At 37.0% G+C, this 21,982-nt stretch overlaps 1 protein-coding gene across 6 annotated transcripts in view; it reads right to left on the bottom strand.

The window, feature by feature from the left end:
* NPEPPS (aminopeptidase puromycin sensitive) overlaps nt 1-21,982 on the bottom strand; it is a 100,344-nt gene that overhangs the window by 30,032 nt on the left and 48,330 nt on the right. For 4 of the 6 annotated variants that reach the window (NM_001330257.2, XM_017025373.1, NM_001411130.1 and 1 more), the window contains 9 exons: nt 13,734-13,855; nt 10,396-10,503; nt 7,545-7,745; nt 7,001-7,097; nt 6,847-6,880; nt 5,901-6,015; nt 2,364-2,528; nt 1,185-1,289; nt 700-760 (listed from right to left, as the gene is read on the bottom strand). In NM_001330257.2, the coding sequence (NP_001317186.1) occupies nt 700-760; nt 1,185-1,289; nt 2,364-2,528; nt 5,901-6,015; nt 6,847-6,880; nt 7,001-7,097; nt 7,545-7,745; nt 10,396-10,503; nt 13,734-13,855 (1,008 nt within the window). Of the gene's footprint in view, nt 1-699; nt 761-1,184; nt 1,342-2,363; nt 2,529-5,900; nt 6,016-6,846; nt 6,881-7,000; nt 7,098-7,544; nt 7,746-10,395; nt 10,504-13,733; nt 13,856-16,084; nt 16,165-21,982 lie in introns of those variants that run through there. The other 2 variants (XM_047437107.1, XM_047437108.1) reach the window with 2 other exon arrangements.

Here is a 21,982-nt window from a genome sequence, read left to right as displayed (position 1 = left end):
AAAGCAGAATGCTGGAGGATGACCAAAGGGATAACGAGTCCTGATTCATGTTGACCCTATGACTTACTGCAGGTTGAGTATCCCTTATCCAAAATGCTTGGGACCAGAAATGTTTTGAATTTCATATTTCTTTTGGATTTTGGAATATTTGCATTATACTTACTAGCTGAGCATCTATAATTGGAATATCCAAAATCTAAAATGTTCCAATGAGCATTTCCTTTGAGCATCATGTTGGCACTCAAAAAGTTTCAGATTTTGGGTGGGAATTGAACAATGAGAACACTTGAACACAGGGCGGGGAACATCACACACCAGGGCCTGTCATGGGGTAGGGGGCTGGGGGAGGGATAGCATTAGGAGAAATACCTAATGTAAATGACGAGTTAATGGGTGCAGCAAACCAACATGGCCCGCACATGTATACTGACGTAACAAACCTGCACATTGTGCACATGCACCCTAGAACTTTAATTAAAAAAAAGAAAGAAAGGAAAGAAAAAGTTTCAGATTCTGGAGCATTTCAAATTTCAGATTTTGAGATTAGAGATATTCAACCTGAACACAGCTTCAAATAAGGCTAATTTATTTATTACATGGATCCTGACCTTAAGTATTCAGAACAAAAATAAAATGTCCCAGCCTGGATAGAGTGACAATACTTTCTCTCCATTTCTATCTCAAGCTATTAGAGATTACCTGTGGCAGCATTCTTTTGTTGGAACTTGGTTAAATACATGTTCATTCCTTTCTTAAAGTCCTGAGAAAACACAATTTTTAAAATCCAGGGAAGTCAGATCTCAGAATTTATAGTATATTTGTATATCAGTAATCAAAAACAAATTTACTCAAATACTCAAGTATCAGATACACTGAAACACATATATCCTTCTGATGCCTACTGCCTTTTATTTAATAATGCGTACTCTATGCCTTCTATTCTTGCTCTTAAGTTTTGTAACAGCCTCCCATTTCCACTCCCAAACACACCTGCACATCACTCATCTAAGAGACCAGAGTAGTCAACTTCAAATAATTGAATTCTCATTCTTTTTGGTCATTAAAAAAAAATGACAAGCCAGAAACTATTTGGGAACTTAATCCAAATAAAGTGAGACTTTTTTTCATGCAAAACTCTTATGATTTCACCATAAAAGAATGAAATATTTAAAGTTTTTTTTTACCTTATCCCCAATGTAGTCATGCAGCATTCGGATGACAGATGCACCTTTGCTATATGATATAGCATCAAATATCTCATCAACCTCAGATGGATGGCCCACACTGACCTGGCAGACAGTGTGATTCAGGGTTATGACAGGAAGCAGATAGCCTGTAATACTGAATTACATAAAACGCTTTCTAGGAAAACCCTTCTAACTTACATTTTTCTGCCTTTAACTCACTCATAATGTATAACGATGGTCCTCAAAAAAATGTAGTAACTAATAATAATAAAGTTGAATAGAACATGATTCCTGTCATCCCTTAGAGCCTGGGTTCCAGTCCTGGCTTTGTTCTGCTGGGAAAGAAGCCACTATGGTTCTGTTTATTTTTGGGGTAGTTGCAGAGGAGTGATGAGGAAGATATGGAGGTGAAGAACATTAGATTTCTTGCACTAATTGTAATGAATTACAATTATATGGGAGCCTAATTAAATATGTTGAAGTAGCATTATAACTCTAGTTCTTTAGATACAAAATTTATATATATAAACTGAAGTAGGGATAGGCTAAGTCAAGAGAATTAAAGTATTCACAAAACAGACCCTGACAATAAAATATGTCCAGAATTTTCCTTGACATAAACAATGGAACCATAGTGTTACCCAATAGGTATGACTTCTCCCATACTATTCTTTTTCTTTTTTTTTGGCAGAGTTTTTTGCTCTTGTTGCCCAGGCTGGAGTGCAATGGCACGATCTCGGCTCACCGCAACCTCTGCCTCCCAGGTTCAAGTGATTCTCCTGCCTCAGCCTCCCGAGTAGCTGGGATTACAGGCATGCGCCACCGTGCCCAGCTAATTTTGTATTTTTAGTAAAGACGGGGTTTCTCCATATTGGTCAGGCTGGTCTCAAACTCCCGACCTCAGGTGATCCACCTGCCTCAGCCTCCCAAAATGCTAGGATTACAGGCATAAGCCACTGCGCCTGGCCAGACCAATTTTTTTTTACTGCCTACCTTAAAAAGAAATGTTAATTAGAACTTAGACTTACTAGCTTTTCAAGACTAGAAATATGAACCAGTAAAATCACCCATGCTATTTTCTCTTATTTTCAAAGTCCAAAGTATCTATGTAACAAATTACGTATTTCATTGTAAATGAGAGCAGTCATAGGCTAATGGTTAGAAAGTATGGCTCACTTCAATAGGATGGCTGTTATCTAAGGCGTCAAGCTCCTGGGCACGGGTGTAATCAGCAGAAACAAACTGAGTCCAAATATCATACTCTGGGAAGCAGTGGTCTACACACAGATATTCAATCCAGGATGCAAAACCTTCATTTAACCAAAGATGAGTCCACCATTCCTAAAAACAAAAGATGAAAATACTTAAAGAAAATGAAATGATTGTCATTCTACTAATCTAAAACACTCACATGTCCCTTCCACTATATTCCCAAACTCACAATTTAATGACCTAAAATTCAGTTCAAAACATTTGGCAAAGAACTCACATTTCTGAAAAAGAGAGAAGACTAAAAGAGATGTCAAGAAAGGCCAACTGGTGATATGAGAATTATATCTGAGGGTCATTTTCTTTTCCTTTCTTTTCTTTTTTTTTTTTTTGAGACAAAGTCTTGTTTTGTCACCAGGCTGGAGTGTTCACCAGTAGCTGGGATTACAGACATGTATCACTATGCCTGCCTAATTTTTGTATTTTTAGTAGAGAGGGGGTTTTGCCATGTTGGCCAGGCTGGTCTGGAACTTCTGAACTCAAGTGATCCACCTGCCTCGGCCTCCCAAAGTGCTAAGATTACAGGTGTGAGCCACCATGCCTGGGCTAAAGGATATTTTCAAAACATTGTAAATAACTTCTCCCGCAAACCCAGACAGGGTCTCATTCTGTTGCCCAGGCTGGAGTGGCAGGGGCACCATCGTAGCTTACTGCAGCCTTGAACTCCTGGGCTCAAGCAATCCTCCCGCCTCAGCCTGCCAAAGTGCTGGGATTACACGCGTAAGCCAGTGCATTCAGTCCTAAGTAACTTTTTAAATACCAAAGGTAGAAAAGGAAGAAGAGGGAAAAAAAAAGCCCATATATGGAAAAGGAAAAGACAACAGATAAATATAGGCAAATAGAGGTGGAAAATATAATCATGTAGAATTTAGTATAGTAAAGGATTATCTCTGAAAAACAAAAACAGAAAACTATCAGAGCCAAATAAAGAAAAATGGAAATGACAGGGGAAAACCACTCACTAATGAGTTGAATGTTCAAGAGAAACTGAGAAAGAGTACTGCTTATATAAAAATTATGTGAAATTAAACAAAAATGCAGTTCAGTAATGAATGGTGTTTAAGCACTTATGGAATATAAAATTATCACCTGTTAAATAAGAATGCATAGTAAATGGAATGGACAAAGAATATGAGTGACAGATAAAATCAATTTTAAAAAAATTTGAAAGATCTTAATCTAAATTTTATTAAAGTTGATTAAGCCTATTAGTAAAAGAAAGCAGGCCAGGCACAATGGCTTGCTCCTGTAATGCCAATACTCTGGGAGGTCAAGGCAGGAAGATCACTTGAGCCCAGGAGTTTGAGATAAGCCTGGGCAACATAGTGAGACTCCATCTCTAAAAAAATTAAAAAGTAAAAAAAAATTAGCTGGTCATGGTGACACACACCTGTGGTCCCAGCTACTTGGGAGGCTGAGGCAAGAGGATTACATAAGCCCAGGAAGATGAAGCTGCACTGACCCATGATTGTGCCACTGCACTCCGGCTTGGGTGACAAAGTGAGATCCCATTCTCCATCCCCAACCAGTCCCCCCAGAAAAGGCCAGGTGTGGTAGCTCATGCCTGTAATCCCAGCACTTTGGGAGGCTGAGGTGGGAGGATTGCTTGAGCCCAGGAGTTTGAGACCAGTTTAGGCAACAAAGTGAAACCCTGTCTCTACAAAAGGCAATACAGTGAAACCTTGTCTCTACAAAAAGTGCAAAAATTAGCTGGGCATGGTGCCACACACCTGTAATTGCAGCTACTCAGGAGGCAGAGACAGGAGGATTGCTTGAGCCCAGAGGTAAAGACTGTAATGAACCATGATTGTGCCATTGCACTCCAGTTTAAGTGACAGAGTGAGACTCTGTCTTAAAAAAAAAATTATTTTGATATTAAGTGATAAGTGGCTATTTGCCTAGTAGCTTCCTAAAATAAACTAGCATAAAATGAAACTTATTTTCCAACCTATCCCTAAGCCCTTGGAATTTCAGTTCTAATAACTAGAATAGTTACATAAAACCAGTAAAAAGTTGTTTAATAAGAATGTACACATTTCCCCTACTAAAATTTATTGCTTGTTTCAAAATAAAATCATAAAGTTATCTCAAAACCAAGCAAAAAAATTATTTGGTACAAAGTAGCAAACTTGCTGCATTAGAAGAAAAGGCCATTTCTTCACATATTTGAATACAGGCACCAACACATAATTCCACATGAAATTATATTTCTTTTTTTTTTTTTGAGATGGAGTTTCGCTCTTGTTGCCCAGGCTGGAGTGCAGTGGCGTGATCTCGGCTCACTGCAACCTCTGCCTCCCAGGTTCAAGTGATTCTTCTGCCTCAACCTCCAGAGTAGCTAGGATTACAGGCGCACACCACCACGCCCAGCTAATTTTCTATTTTTTTTAGTGGAGATGGGGTTTCGCAACATTGGTCAGGGTGGTCTCAAACACGTGACCTCAAGTGATCCACCTGCCTCAGCCTCCCAAAGTGCTGGGATTACCGGCGTGAGCCACCGTGCCCGGCCTGAAATTATATTTCAAAGAATTTTTTTCACCTGTAAAATTTTAAACATCCAAAATAAAAGGAAAAGATTTATTTTCAAGGGTTGACTTTCTGTAGAAACTCTCTGAGACACGTAATAGTTGATAAATGTCTTACATTCTTATTTATATGACGTATGGACTCAATCTACATTCAAATCAGGTTCTGCTCTTTGGCAGCCTAAAATGTCAGGGAATCTAGCTGGCTCCAGAATATCCAGTTATTTAATTGCAGAGGTACATCTAGTTCACTTATTAAATCCTGTGCTCCCAAGCTCTAACACAGTTGGCATTCATAAATAGTATTTACTTAGAGTAAGAGTGAAAAATCAGGACTGAAGGACAGAGATCATTACTGCAAACATTATAAGGATTTCAACAGAACAGCTGGAATTTTAATACAGCTTTATTCTGCAGTCACTCTGCAGTTTGTTTACTTTTATTTCATTAAATTTCAACTTAACATTTTAGGCAATGAAAAAACTGACTCCTAAAAACATTTCTCTCTAATTAAAGATCAGTTTGTTATTCATCAGGTTACTTTTCAGCTGTGAATCAGATTAACAAATAAGATTCAAGAAACTACAGTTAGCCTGGAATCTCACTGCATGATTCATTCATCTACACCTAAGAGGAATGTTTTTCTCTCACCCAAATTAGTATCTTGACTTTTCCCACTTGCAGACAAATTTTAGAACAGTTTAGGAAGTGTCTGTTGAATAAAGACTGTCCATATGCCCTTGTTCAATGCAGAGATTCTGATAAGCCTTTTCAAAGTGGACCTTTTAAAATAATACTTTTCTATCACTCAATTATTTTTTGGCACAGTGTTGCAGCCAAACTTGAAATACTATGTAGCCAAAATAATGTGGAGTAGGATGAAGATAAATATATTTGAGCACTTAAAAATATTAAATACCATAGTAACAAGATTTCCAAACCATTGATGGGCGAGTTCATGTCCCACAACCAGAGCAACCCACTGGCGGGATGAAGAACAGGAATTTTTTGGATCAATAAGCAATGCAGTCTCCCTGTGTTTAAAAAAAAAAAAAAGAAACAAATTTAAACAATAAAAGTGGGCATGCATAAGTTGGGAAGATTCAGACAGTAAGTCAGATGGACAAGTTAGGCTTTAGAGATATTAGGAAAATATTTCCTAATATGGAAAGAAAAAGTTTCACGAAGATTAAAGACTACCCCAACAGAATTAATACAACAGAATATCAAAGATGTGACACAAGTTTAATTATCAGTTTGTTGATAGAATAGCTGCCTGAAATTTTGGGAAAACATTGTCTAAGGGATTAGCGATTACTGTGCTAGATGGAGAGAGAAGAAAGTCCTTCCATTAAATGAGGGGAGTGGTGGAGGAAGATGCATTCCATAGTCCCAAAAACAGCACTGAGCCGGCTGTCCAACACTTAGCTCATCTAAAAAGGCAATTGAAAGTAGAAGGCAAAAACTTGTTTACAGACAGACTCTGCTTTTAAAAGTTATTCAACTCACATGTTTATGTTGTGGTGACAGACATGTAAAAACTTGGCTAGAAGATATGAAATTAGGGAAGGTTCTCCAAGCTGGATAAATAGCTATGAAACTACTGCAATGAGAAACTTAGCCAAGAATATATCTAAAAATGCTACTACCGCCAGATGCTCACTTTAAAATCTTACACCCTCAGACAGTAGCACCAAAGGGAGGGGTGTCCATCTGCATTCTTGAAATGTGCACGGAAGTGGGGGAAGGTAGAAAAATTTACACCATATCGTAAAGCAGAAGCTACTCAACTGTGATTAGGAGGGAAGCCCTTTTGAAATCAGTGATTTGAAAAGATAAGGCAGGGTAACACATCATTAACATACCTATAAGTAACAAGGCCCCAGTTCTCCATGGCACCTTCACAAAATAAATATAAACATTTATTGATATATATATATATATATATACTCTTGCATCAAAAGTCACAAAATTTTAAAAAGTTATTACAATTCAGCAATAAAATGAAATTTACTTTACCAGCTGCAAAGTCTGCAATAGCAATGAGATCAATTTTAGGTAGAGGATAAGGAACATTGAAGTAGTCCTTATAAAAAGGCAAGGTTTTAGCAGCAACCTATAAAAGTATAAACAAAATAACCATCTAATAAATATGTTATTATAATTCATATTGAAACCCACAAAGGAATCCTGTTGCAAGCCAATGTATCTTAAATTACTAGAAATGAATCCCGAGGAGCCCTACCCTCCGAAGACTGCCTTAGCTCCAAACTTTGAATACAATGGCCAAACTTTAATCCATTTATAACTTGATATGAAAAATATAACTACATATTTTCCAACCCATTCCCTAGAGAAATTCCACTCTTATATTCTCTTAATTATTATTTTGTAAAATAATGAAACACCAAGGTTGGCATTTCCTAAATTCTACTAAAAATAAACCAAGTAGCACAACTTTCAGATTAAATTATAAATAACTGTACTAATAATTGACCAGAAATGTAAATTCCCCAACCTGGAGTTATGGACTGTTGGAACAATCCTCTTCAAGTACATTTACCTCTAACGCAAATTTTCCTTGCTCTGCTTTGCCAACAGGAGTGTAAACACGGACACACACACCATCTTTTGACCTTGTTTCTACAAAGTCATATTCACCCACAACAAATGCCACCAGATATGTAGACATAACAGGTGTGCGGGCAAACTTCACTTCCACTAAATTTTCATCATCAGGGTATGGTTTCCGGTCAATTACATTCTTTAAGAAATAAAAAAAAGAAAAATTTAAATAGGTTTACATTAATACCATAGAGCAAATACCAGCCAAAAACTGTAGGCTTTATTGCATCTCTTTACCCCTTTCTATTCTAGCATGGCTTATTTCTCTACCCCAATTCATCCAGTGCTTTTATGCTGTCTTTAAGAAGGAAAGTGGTCTGATAAAACACTCATACTAAGAAGCTGGAGGCTGAAGTGTTAAAACTACCAAGGACCTGTGAAAGAAAAGAGGAATGGACTTTTCTCAAATACTTATTATAAGCCAGGCATTGGGATGATTTAAGTTAAGGGCTTCATACTTTTCAACTGACATAAGTTTAGGAGAAAATGACTATTAATAAAAATAAAATAGGGGCTAGGCGCGGTGGCTCACGCCTGTAATACCAGCACTTTGGGAGGCTTAGGCAGGCGAATCACAAGGTCAGGAGATCAAGACCATCCTGGCTAACATGGTGAAACCCCATCTCTACTAAAAATACAAAACATTAGCCAGGCATGGTGGGGGGTGCCTGTAATCCCAGCTACTTGGGAGGCTGAGGCAGGAGAATGTCGTGAACTAGGGAGGCGGAGCTTGCAGTGAGCTGGGATCACACCACTGCACTCCAGCCTGGGCGACACAGCGAGACTCCTTCTCAAAAATAAATAAATATAATATAATTGTAGAATCTCCCATTTCAAAGGATACAAACTTCTAGATCGAGGGCATTCTCTACCAAAGTTGGCTCTAAGCTTATTTGTGAAGAAATTTCAACTTTACCTTTGGAGTCCCTAATTTCCTTTGGTGTTCTCCCTCTTTTTCCTATTCAGGCTCTGTTTCCTCAAGCTCTCTCTATTCTTCCTTCCAAGGAAGACTTATTCAAGAACACACTGATAAATTCACTCATACTAAAGTGTGAATGAATATTTCCGTTTAATATATTAGCCTCCTCTTCTAAGAATATGTGAGAAGAGAATGACATTCTATTTATGGGATGCTCTCCCCCAATAAATACATAAAAGAGTTATTTTCAGGTGCAGCAGGTTTTTCCAAGTTCCCCACACAAGACAGTCCTAGACAACACACTTCAAGTGGGGAATGCTTACCCTGTTCATGAATGAGATCAATAACACTGGTGAAGAGAATACATTCCAAGAATACAAACAGCCAGAGACCTAAATATACTTCATTACGCAGCTACATCTTTTGAATTTTTTTAACTTTTTAAAAACATAAGAGACAGGGTCTTGCTCTGTTGCAACCTTTTTTTTTTTTTTCCCCCGAGATGGAGTCTTGCTCTGTCACCCAGGCTGGAGTGGAGTGGCGCGATCTCAACTCACTGCAGCCTCCACCTCCCAGGTTCAAGCAATTCTCCTGCCTCAGCCTCCCAAGTAGCTGGGGTTACAGGTGCCTGCCACCATATCTGGCTAATTTTTGTATTTTTAGTAGAGATGGGGTTTCACCATGTTGGCCAGGCTGGTCTCGAACTCCTGGCCTCAAATGATCCACCTGCCTCAGCCTCCTGAAGTGCTGGGATTACAGGCATGAGCCACCATGCCTGGCCTATTTTTTTTTTTTTAAGAGATGGGGTCTTGTTCTGTCACCCAGGCTGGAATACAGTGGCACAATCACGGCTCCCTGTAGCCTCAAACTCCTAAGTTCGAGAGATCCTCCCACATTAGCCTCCCAAGTAGTTAGGATTACAGACACGTGCCACCATACCTGGCTAACTTTTAAGTTTTAAATCTTTTGTAGAAATGAGGTCTCACTATGTTGCCCAGACTGGTGTCAAACTCCTGGCCTCAAGCAATCCTCCTGCCTTAGCCTCCCAAAGCACTGAGATTACAAGCAAGAGTCACTGTACCTGGCTTTCTTATGACATTTAATAAGTCAAGACCTTTTTCTTTTTTTTTTTTCTGAGATAGGGTCTGGCTCTGTCACCCAGGCTGGAGTGCAGTGGTGTGATCTCAGCTCACTACAAACTCCGCTTCCTGGGTTCAAGTGATCCTCCCACCTCGGCCTCCCAACTAGCTGGGACTACAGGTGTGTGCAACCACACTCAGATAATTTTTGTATTTTTAGTAAGGACAGGTTTTCACCATGTTGGCCAGGCTGGTCTTCAACTCCTGACCTCAAGCGATCTGCCTACCTTGACTTCCCAAAGTGCTGGGATGACAGGTGTAAGCCACCATATCCAGCCCAAGACCTTTTGCTTTTAGTTACTATAAATCTATTAAACTTGTCAATTTACCTCTCTAAATTAAAAGAAGTAGATAATCTTATAAATGTATTTAACGAGGAATTTGACAAAGAGAAAATCCTCCAAAAATAAAGCTATCAAGAAAAAGAGGTCTTGGCTGGGCATGGTGGCTCATGCCTGTAATCCCAGCACTTTGGGAAGCTGAGGCAGGAAGACAGATTGACCCCAGGAGTTTGAGACCAGCCTGGGCAACATAATGAGACCCCAACTCTACAGAAAAAAAAAAAAAAAAGAAAGAAAAAGAGGCTTATTGAAAATAAAGAAAACTAATATTTATGTTCCTATAATATACCAGCACTGTGGTAGGTGGTTTCATATTATCCCATCTAATCAGCAAACTAAATCTGCTAAAGCCTATTAAAATTTTAGATAAACTTATAAACACATACATACCATGTTTGATAAAGCTACTCTGTCTTTAGGAACAACCAATGAGATATCAAAAGTTGCTTTGATAGCAGGCTCATCCCAGCAAGGAAAAGCCCTTCGGGCATCAGTAGCCTTAAGAAAAGAATATGAAATATAAATACCTTAGAATTAACCTAACAAGTTATTTCATAAAGCAGTCACCATTTCCCTCTGTCATTCATTCATTCCCTTGTTCAAATATTTACTTTCTCTTCAGTGCCAGGCAACAAGCCAGGCATTAACTAGAAAGAAAAGACAACACTTGCTACCACTGCCATTCCAGCAAATATCCAGGAACAGTGTCTGCTATGGATTTTAACAATATATTATAATTATTTACAACTAAATTTTTGTTTACATTTTAACATTTCAAATTTAATGCAAATGCCTTCAAATCAATAATGTTAACACAACACAGCACAGAACAGTAAAGAGTATGCTATAAGAATTCAAAGTTGGGAAAACATGGTAAGTTGCCTCTCTGGCTTTTATTTTTGAATTAAAAATAAAAATATTCTCAATCTTTGACGTGCTTTGTTCTTTATCTGGAATGGCAGCAATGGGAATAAAGACAGATGCTCTATCAATTCAAGACAGGTCATTCATTTAATGGCACTTCCATATGCTACACATAAAACTGTCGCCACTTGACCTACTTGAGTCCTTACTCTTTCATTAAAAATTTAAAAAAGAGCAAACTTATGAAAGCAAAATAAAACTTAGGGGTTCTGCAGGGTATCAGTTATAAAGGAAAGAAACTTTAGTAAACAGAATTTTCCATTTATTTAGTAAATAAAATGGAACCAATGACAAGATTCTGTATTATAAAAAGAAACAACAGGCTGGGTGCAGTGGCTCATGCTTGTAATTCCAGCACTTTGGGAGGCCGAGGTGGGCGATCACCTGAGGTCAGGAGTTAGAGACCAGCCTGGTCAACATGGTGAAACCCCGTCTCTACTAAAAATACAAAAATAAACCAGGCATGGTGACACATGCCTGTAATCCCAGCTACTCGGGAGGCTGAGGCAGGAGAATGGCTCGAACCTGGGAGGCGGAGGTTGCAGTGAGCCAAGATTGCACCACTGCACTCCAGCCTGGGCGACAGAGCAAGGCTCCGACTAAAAAACAAACAAACAAACAAACAAACAAACCAAAGAGGTAGAAGAAACTTGGCTGACTATATTCTCAAAAACATTAAATAAATAATGAATTCTATCAATGAATAAAAAAGACATCTGAAAAGAAGGGAGAGTATAAGGAAAGAAATGGCAGCACAGAAGCATTTAAATTAGAAGCAGCAGCAGAGAAATGAATTTATACTAAAGGAAATTAATGACATAGATAACAAGATTTAAGTTTGAAAATATCTAAAGGACAAAGTGATAAAAGCAATTAAACATAATTTGAGAGACAGATACTAGAGCTAAACTGGGTATTAACTGAGAAGGGAATGGAATGGATATCACAGTGAAGATATAACAGAAAAACTCTTTCACACTGAAAAATTATCGGAATCTAAAAATCAATAGGGTTCACCAAGTACTAAGCAAAAATCAATGAAAAGTGAACACCTGGTTTAAAAAACAGTTTAATTTTCGATATCAAGATATAATTTAACAAGCAAGCAGGAAGAAAATAAAGCAAAACGAAACAACATCTTACCTACAAAGGAAGAAGAAACATTTTAGTCTGTGACCCCTCCTCTTGAAAAAGTGAGATGTAGAAGACTTTGGAAACAATATTCACAGACTTTTGAAAGTGAAAAATTGTAAGCTGATTGTACTACTCTTACAGTTGAATGAGCTGGGCCTATTACTCATGGCAAGAGAGAACTCACACCATAGGGAACCACTGGTGTCTCCATAAGAATGTAAGAAAGAACCCACTATACGATTTGGGATTTGGTTTACATGATTTGGAAGAGGGTCTAAGTAAACAGGGATTCACTCTAGATTGAGTGCTGCAAGAAGTCCTATGAGGCAATTCTATGGGTATGTATCTCAATAAATCTTATCTATACGGAGGCCAGACTAGAGCAAATCTAAAACCGTAATTGGTAAAGAAGCAGTAGTCACTCATTTTAACTGAGAGATGGAGATGTTTGATATTTTGCGGGTAGCATAGTGATCCTGTATGTACTGTACCTAGGCAAAATTATGGATCCCTTGTTTTGTCTCACTTTATTATGGTCTCAAGTAGCCTTGTCTAAAGTTGGTATTCTGTAATATTATGTCTAATAGGGAGAATAACATGGGCTAGCTGTGAGTGCCAGACAACCTCTGGATGTCAAAAGTTGCTCTTTTTACCTTTTTTCATCAACAAATCTATATACCCAGTAAATCTGGTCATGTATAAAGGCAAATGAAAGACTTTTCAGAAAAGCAAAGGCTCAGGAATTACATTACCCACATACCTTCTCCTAAAAAAAAATTGTTTAGAGACATACATCAGCCAACCATTCCAGGATGAAGTGTTCAAAGTGGGTAGAGAAAGGCATTAGAATCATTCAAACACAGAATTAAACCTAAATATCTGTGGCAAATATTATTCTAAACAGAAAGTAACATAAAATTATTGAAAGAGAAGATACATCAGGTAAAACAAATTAGTAGTAAACTGGATAAAAAATTTTAGGTTATCCCAAACAAGCAAACAATATAGGGATATGGGCAGAAACATAAGAACGGATATCATGAATTGTTTCTTTATCCATATTGAAATTTACAGAAATAAATTTAGATTTAACACTTAAAAATACGACTAGCAGATTCAAAACAATTTATATAATTTGCAAATACTTGACAAATAAAAATCATCCTGGCCTACATAGGACAGCAAATATATATATGTGTGTGTATATATATGTGTATACACACACACACACACACACACACACACACACACGGAGAAAAAAAAAATCAAAGACAGCACAGATACTACAGTAAGATAAACAAAAGATGTCAAAGAAGGAAAGGAATTCCAGAAAACAGCTAATAATACTGTAGGAAAAGCCATAGGTGTCAAATACTAAGAGAATGATTTTAAGAAAGGTACACAGTATATAGGCAATTCAGGTATCAAAATGTGTCGTGTGTTTGAGCGTCTGTGTGTATAACTGTATATAATCATTCCCCAACCCATACCCTTAATTCCCTCCTTTCTATAGAGATAATGGCTAAATATAAAATAAAAATTCTAAAATTGTGAATACAATCATGGCCAAGGGCACCTAGCCTCAAATAATCACCCCACATAATAAAACACAGCTTTGTCAGAATGCCTAATTTAAGAATAATAATATTTTAGAGAAGAATAACCCATACCTCAAACTGTGTTACAGCAGCATAGCGCACCTCTCCAGAAGGGGTAGTATATTTACTTCTATAGAAACCTTTCATTTTGTCATTCAGCTCTCCAACAAAATCTATCTTTAAGGTTCCCGTACCTGTGATTGAAGATAAATAAAAAACACTTTTATGGAGATGTTAAACACAGTTACCAAAAATATGTCCTCAAGACACTATATTCAGTTAGCTATTTACAATGTTCAAATCATTCCTTCCTTTTTCAAATATTCCTCCTGGCAATGGAGAGAATACAGTACTTACTAAAGTAAAAGGCAGACTAATCCTAAAATAACTCTTGAAAGTCATGTTTAGGGTGACTGCCTAAAAAGTTATTAACTTAGTCTCAAACTACCAATATGTGAAAATAAGAACAGGAAAGGAAACAAACATTTATTCTTAAATGCCTGATATGTGCTATTGTGCATAGTGCTTTTAAAATATATATAACTATTTATAAACCTGGAAGTAGATATTGTCCTCATTTTTTCAGATGAGGAAACTGAGGCTGAGAAGCTAAATAACTTGTCCAGTGTCATACAATTAGTAAGTAGTGAGAATGGGATAAAATGTTTAAGTCCAGAATTCATGCTGTCTGCCAATTATACATGTGAATTGGTCCTTTTACACAACTTCATGCATAGAAAGAGAAATGTAGCCAATTACTCTATCAAGATAAGACACTAAATGTTTACTCCAAATGGAACACTGATTGCATAATTTTGTAAGGAGCTATAGGGAAGACCAATGATTTGATCAGCAACAGGGCATAAAACAAATTCTTACAAGTCACCTCAATCATTTGAAATCTGACAAAGAAATACATTTAATTAATAAATTATTAAATGCAAATAAAAATACAACTTAAATATGTATTCTATTGTTGTATAAGAGCAAAAACAATTTAGACAAAAAAGTGAGCTTTTTTGAGTTCATATACTTTCTTTTTTATAACATAAAAAATTATAATTATTATCTAGTAATCATCTGCTAAATACAGATGCATGGCAAAACAGTAATCCCATTCTGTGTTTTACAAATCAAGTCACGAAAAAACGTAGAGGAATGGTGACTTTTTAGTTGACCATTTTAAAGGCCCTACTTATATCAAGATTTAAAGCATGGGAAGTCTAACAAATCAAAGATAGGGCATGACTATAAAGTAATTAACCAATCATACCAAACTTTTATATACTAATGTTTCAAATTGTCATTTTGGAATGCTAAAGAGCAATGACATTTGACATTGTTCAAAATGTTGTGACTTTCTCTCTTTTTTTTTTTTTTTTGAGACAGAGGCTTACTCTGTTGCCCAGGCTGGAGTACAGTGGTGTGATCTCGGCTCACTGCAGCCTCCGCCTCCTGGGTTCAAGCAATTGTGCCTCAGCCTCCTGAGTAGCTGGGACTACAGGCGGGCATCACCACGCCTGGCTAATTTTTGCATTTTTAGTAGAGACAGGGGTTTGCCATGTTGGCCAGCTGGTCTTAAACTCCTGGCCTCAAGTGATCCACCCACCTTGGCCTCCCTAAGTGCTGGGATTACAGGCATGAGCCACTGTGCCTGGCCCCTCTGACATTCTTTTGAATGATCTCAAAGTCAAATCTTCATCTTATAAAATTGAATTTGCTTTTGGAAAGGACCAAAAGTTATGGGGAGTGCGAGTCTACAGAATAAGTGAATGACAAACTACAAACTGTCTCTAGCCTGATGCCTCAAACTGGTTCTAAAAGTAATTTAAGTGAAAATTTCAGACCTTTAGAGCAAAGTCACCACTAATGAAAGTGCTATATTCTTAATCATTCTGAGAAAAAACCAACTCAACTGAAGCTTAATTGAAGACATTTGTGATGTTTATTTTTAAAAATCAGATGTTTGTAAATATCTAAAGAGGACAATGAATACTTTTTTCTTTAAAGAGAATGACAGGTTACTGGGACAGTATATATGAATATAGTAAAATAACTGATAATTCTAAATGATACTAAAAAATTAAACTATAAAGCAAAATTTAAATTAAAAATTTTTAATTTCTATTTTCTTTAGAAATTCACTTAATTTTTTTAAAAAAGCAAATGTATTCACATTAATAAAGTTTGCAAAGAACGTCTAACAGATTATAAAAACCTACTACCTTTAATGGAAACTATATGATGGAATTTTATGTTACAATTCCATAAGTGGAATTGCCCAGTCTGTTTCACTAAGTCAATCAACTGTTAAGATGTTTTTTAAATATAATTCATATTTCATGGTAAATCTACTTGCATTTTTTCCTAGTTGGAACAAAAGTGGTTTTAAAACTCATAACTAAATAAGAAAGACTGCTTACACTTTTACTCGGTTTTAAATCTCCAAGGCCATCAAACCATAACAAGATATTGACAGTGACCACTTCCAAAAAGTGGCATACTAAACAAAATACAAAGTATTGGAAAGAGTTATTACCTGAAATTCAAACAAAACACAAGTTAAAGTATTTAAAAATCATTAATAAGTTTAATTAGTGTCACATTATATGATACCAATTACAAAGTATTTACTTACTATTCATATAGTAGAATTTTAGGGCAAGTAGGAGAAAAAATGACTTTTTAATAAATTTCATTTATCAAATTTACACCATATTAATGAACGGATTGCCAAATTGTCTAATTTTATGCCTATCAACACACATAATTTACACCACTTCCTCAAATTAGATACCTTATTTCATATCCAATGTATGAAATATTTATGTTTGGGGTTGTAAACCTTTTGAAACATATATCAAGCTCGTTTATAAAGTAAACAACTGAAAAATTGGGACTTCCATCAAAAACCTTAAATGTTTAAAGCTTAGGAGAGTATAACAATTGTAAAACCTGGAGTAAATCTTGAAATACTTTAATAATAATAAATTTAATGAGCCTACTAAATGCTATAAAAATAAAGAGAATAATTTATACAAAAAGGGAATAAAGGTTGTTGCCTTTGTGTCACCACTTCTTTTTTTCTTTGGAAAATGGAGTCTCAGTCTGTCACCCAGGCTAAAGTGCAGTGGTGCAATCTCGGCTCACTGCAACCTTCGGCTCCCGGGTTCAAGCAATTCTCCTGCCTCAGCCTCCTGATTAGCTGGAACTACAGGCGTGCGCCACCAGGCCTGACTAATTTTTGTTTTTAGTAGAAACAGGGTTTCGCCATGTGTCACCACTTTTTATTATCTTGTTTTTGACTCTTCAAAATGCTGACAACTACCAGTGTTTCTCCATATAAATGCCACCCTTAGGACCCTCAGCCACTAATTCTAGGGTTGTTAGACCTTACAATAATTATGGTAATTTAATCACTATCCCAGAATGGTGCCAATTTCAGAAAAGTAGGTTTTACTTAGCTGTATAATAGCTTGCATTACTGTTAAATTTGATGAGGCTAAACACAAAGATTATTAATGTCCTCCTAAGATAAGCTCAGTATTTGCTTCATTATCAGATAGATCACTTGTGCAATCCGTCTTGAAAAAGATTAACTTCATTCTTAAAGCAAACCTTGGGAAAATGTGAAAGCCAATGATTTCAAACAGATATTAAATAATTCAATATTGTCGGTGGGGCGTGGTGGCTCACACCTGTAATTCCAGCACTTTGGGAGGCCGAGGTGGGCGGATCACGAGGTCAGGAGATCAAGACCATCCTGGCTAACACAGTGAAACCCCATCTCTACTAAAAATACAAAAACAAAATTAGCTGGGCGTGGTGGCAGGCACCTGTAGTCCCAGCTACTCGGGAGGCTGAGACAGGAGAATGGCATGAACCCAGGAGGCAGAGCTTGCAGTGAGCTGAGATCGCGCCACTGCACTCCAGCCTGGACGACAGAGCAAGACTCCATCTCAAAAATAATAATAATAATAATAATAATAATAATAATAATAATTCAATATTGTCACACCTGCAAGATAATTTTTCTGTTCTAATATTTATATCAGTTGTTATATTAGCTCAAAATTGTTATATTGGCCAAAAATATCAAAAATTATGTTAAATCATACTATACGAATGGTCATAACCTTCTCTAACTTGTTTGTTATTATTTGAAATAGCTTCACCATTTAGCATGTCTGCTGTAAACAGACCTTATCAAGAATGATACATCTCTTATATACTAATAATAAATGGCCTCCAATATTTACAGTTAAGGGGAAAAGAAGAAAGGTGCAGAACATTATGTATGGCATGGTGATTTCTGTGTTCTTAAAAAGTATATACATAAATGCTTACAAAAGCAGGGTATAGTTTTGAAAGGAAAATTTCATTTCATTCTGTTGAGGAATGGAGCTGAGAAAGAAGACGGTAGACTGGCAAACAAAATTTCATTGCATAGCATTTGAATTTCAAATTATGTAAATGTACTATGTTTTTGAAATATTTAATTTGAAAAATAAAGATAGCACAATGTGGTGGTTAAAAGTGCAGACTTTTCAGTTAAACTGCTTGGGTTTAAATCCCAGCTATGTTACTTACTAGCTATGTTACCTTGGACAAATTATTTAAGTTAATGAAATCATTTTTCTGCCTTAGTTTATCTACAAAATAGAAGTAACAGAATCTGGCTGGCGTAGTGGCTCATGCCTGTAATCTCAACATTTGGGAGGATGGCAAGATCCTCTCTCTGAGGTAGGAGGATCACCTGAGGCCAGGCATTTGAGACCAGCCTAGGCAACATAACGAGACCCTGTCTCTACAAAAAAATTTAAAAATTAACCAGATGCAGTGTCATGTGTAGGCAGTCCTAGCTACATGGGAGGCTGAAGTGGGAGAATCACTTAAACCCAGGAGTTTGAGGCTGCAGTGAGCCGTGACTGCACCACTATACTCCAGCCTGGGTGACAGAGAGACTTTGTCACAAAACAAATCTACCTCAAAAGGTTGTTGAAAGGATTAAATAAATTAATATTTTTGAGGCACTTAAAACAGTACTTGGCACAGATTATGTCGTGTGTGTGTGTGTAATCCATATCTTCTATCATGTTAGAAGTTTCTGTCTACTCTTCCCTGGTGAATTCTAGCAAATAAACTGATTCCTTTTGATAAATATAGAATGTTTAACTTTTTAAATTTAATGAAAAATGGTTACCATATTTCCTAATGCTGAACAACAATTCAATCTACGCTTTTATTTTCTATACTGGCTAGGTTTATATATCTTTTGGGACTATTTTTAAATATCAGTTTTTTAATATTTCTGCCCCTCACTTCACTTATTTCATTTGTTTCTGCTCTTAAAACTTTCTTCTACTTTCTCCAAATTACCTTTTGTTTTTATGAGTTTAATGCTTAGCTAATTAATTTTCAGTCTTTCTTCTTAACTAAATATCCTCTCTAATATTTTATCTGCATATGAAACACGTTTATCCCTAATGTTTCATATGTGGTAATTTCATTATTCAGTTCTAAATATTTTCTAATTTCCATAACAAGTCTTCTTTGACTCAATTATTCAGAGGTGTAATTTTTCCAAATATATAAAAAGGTTTTTCATTTCTTTTTCTATTGACTTCTAATTTTTTCACAGTGTAAACGCAGAATATATATAGTCTGTAATGATATAGATTTAAAACTCTAAAATTTTTTAAATTTCTATCAAAATAATAGTTCATAGTTTAAAATACGTAAGCTCCAGGCCCTGCTCAACACTAGGCCCTACTCCCCACACCCTGCCCCTAAGAAGCAATCAATTTCAAACTCTGTGACTTCTAAATGTCTTGCTTACACAGCTATTTTTTCTTTTCCTTTCTTTGAGACAGTCTTGCTCTGTCGCCCAGGCGCGAGGGCAGTGGTACAATCATGGCTCACTGCAGCCTTCAATTCATGGGCAAGCAATCCTCCCACCTCAGCCTCCCAAAGTGTTGGGATTACAGGCATGAGCCACGACCATGGCCTATTTCTTCATTTTTCAACTTTAGACATTTTCTCTTCACTGTAGAAAGTCATGCTTTAGCTAATCCATCCCCCACTCCAATATCTTTTACAAAGAATCAAATTTTCTATGACCTTGCAAATCTGAAAATATTTTTACTCCGAAATTCAAAGTTGGGTTAAGCATGCAATCTTAGGTTGAAAATCAGATTCACTTTGTATTTTGAATGAACAGCTTCATTAGAGTCTAAGTTTCCACTGTTCCTAATGGTAAGTCTAGGACTATTCTGATTCCTAAATTTTAAAGGTAGTATGCTACCTGCCTTCCCTCCTATTGCCCCCTACCCCAGACAGGAACTTTCTGGGAGTTTTACTTTATCGCAAAAGTTCTAAAATTTCAGTCAGTGTGGCAATTTTTACATTTTTTAAGCTAGTCTCTCTCAATGGTGTACCTTTGCAAACTGAAGGCTCCTGCTCTATCAGTTCAAGGAAATGTTCCTGTCTTTTTGAAAGTTTCTCTTCTGGCCGGGCACAGTGGCACACGCCTGTAATCCTAGCACTTTGAGAGGCCGAAGTGGGCAGATCACCTAAGGTCTGGAGTTCGAGACCAGCCTGGCCAACATGGTGAAACCCCAACTCTACTAAAAATACAAAAATCAGCTGGGCATGGTGGTATGTGCCTGTAATCTCAGCTACCCAGGAGGCTGAGGCAGGAGAATCACTGGAACCCACGAGGTGGAGGCTGTGGTGAGCCGAGATCGCACCACTACACTCCAGTCTGGGTGACAGAGCAAGATTCTGTTGCAAAAATGAAAATAAAAAAATCCTCTTCCCATTTTCTCTGCTTTCTGTTTCACTAGATGGATGTTGGTTCTGCTGGACTGGTTCTCAAATCTATTTTTCTGTTTTCTATCTGTTTTTTCTACTGCTTAGAAGTTTCCTCAACTTCATCTTTTAACACTTTTACTGGGTTTTTTATACCCATCATAATTTCCAAGTTTTCCTGCTGTAATTCTTCCTATCTGATGGCATTCTGTCCTGTCCTTGTTTAATGAACGCAATGCTTTCTCTTAATTCTCTAAGGATAGTAATTAGCTTTGGGTTTGTTTGTTTTTTTTTTAACTTTCTTTAGATTTGTCTTTGCTTTTTCCAACTTCCTTTATTTCTATTATACTTATAATTTTGCTTTTTGCCCTATCTTTCATTAGAAACTTTTTGCAAATGTCTGTTAAATGCTACCCCAGTGACTTTGGGCTTGGTCATGCTACTTGCTTTGGTCAATGAAATGTGAGTAGACATCAAGTATACCACCATCATACAGAAATTTTATTTTTTATTTTATTTTTTATAGAGACAGGGTCTCACTACATTGCCTAGGCTGGTCTCCAACTCCTGGGCTCAAGCAATCCTCCTGCCTCAGCCTCCAAAAATGCTGAGATTACAGGTGTGAGTCACCACGCCTGGCCATGCAGAAGTTTTAAATGTGTCTTTGTGTTCTAGCTTTCTCCCCTTCCCTGAGCCTCTGCCCTCTGCCATGCATGATACAGAGAGTGGCTGCCCGCTCACTACTAGTCCTGGAAAGACAGTTGGGAGCCAAGTGGAGCCAGTAGAGTTGGTGATATGGCTGCATATGATCAGCACTCCTCATGGCCCATGTGTAAAAAAGAAAGAAATCTCAGTGGTTATAAGCCACTGAGATTTGTGATCCTATTTGTGGGTTAAATTATATACATAAATTTATATATACATAGGAATATTTCTAGACAGATTCACCAGACAATGCAGCAGAAGAATCTCCTTCCTTTTCAAATTATATTCTTCAATAGCTTTTAATACATGTTCATGGCAAAGCATTTTTTGTTTTGTTTTGTTTTGTTTTTTGGGACGGAGTCTCACTCTGTCGCCCAGGCTGGAGTGCAGTGGTGCGATCTCGGCTCACTGCAAGCTCCACCTCCCGGGTTCACGCCATTTTCCTGCCTCAGCCTCCCGAGTAGCTGGGACTACAGGCACCTGCCACCATTCCCAGCTAATTTTTTGTATTTTTAGTAGAGACAGGGTTTCACCGTGTTAGTCAGGATGGTCTCGATCTCCTGACCTCGTGATCCACCCGCCTCGGCCTCCCAAAGTGCTGGGATTACAGGCGTGAGCCACCACGCCCAGCCCATTTATTTTTATAATAATTACACATAAAGGGCCTCCAAGAGCACTGAAATAAAAGACTAAACATCTCCAATTTAAATTTTTTCTAAAAATAATTTTATATTAATTCAATAGATTCTCAGTAGGAAAATTGTGAAAATCAGACAAAAGATATAAATAAGAATAAAAATCACCAA

This window comes from Homo sapiens, chromosome 17 (genome assembly GCF_000001405.40).
Source record: "Homo sapiens chromosome 17, GRCh38.p14 Primary Assembly".
Lineage (NCBI taxonomy): Eukaryota > Metazoa > Chordata > Mammalia > Primates > Hominidae > Homo > Homo sapiens.
Note: the sequence above shows the minus strand (reverse complement) of the source record. Positions and strands in the feature narration are given on the sequence as shown.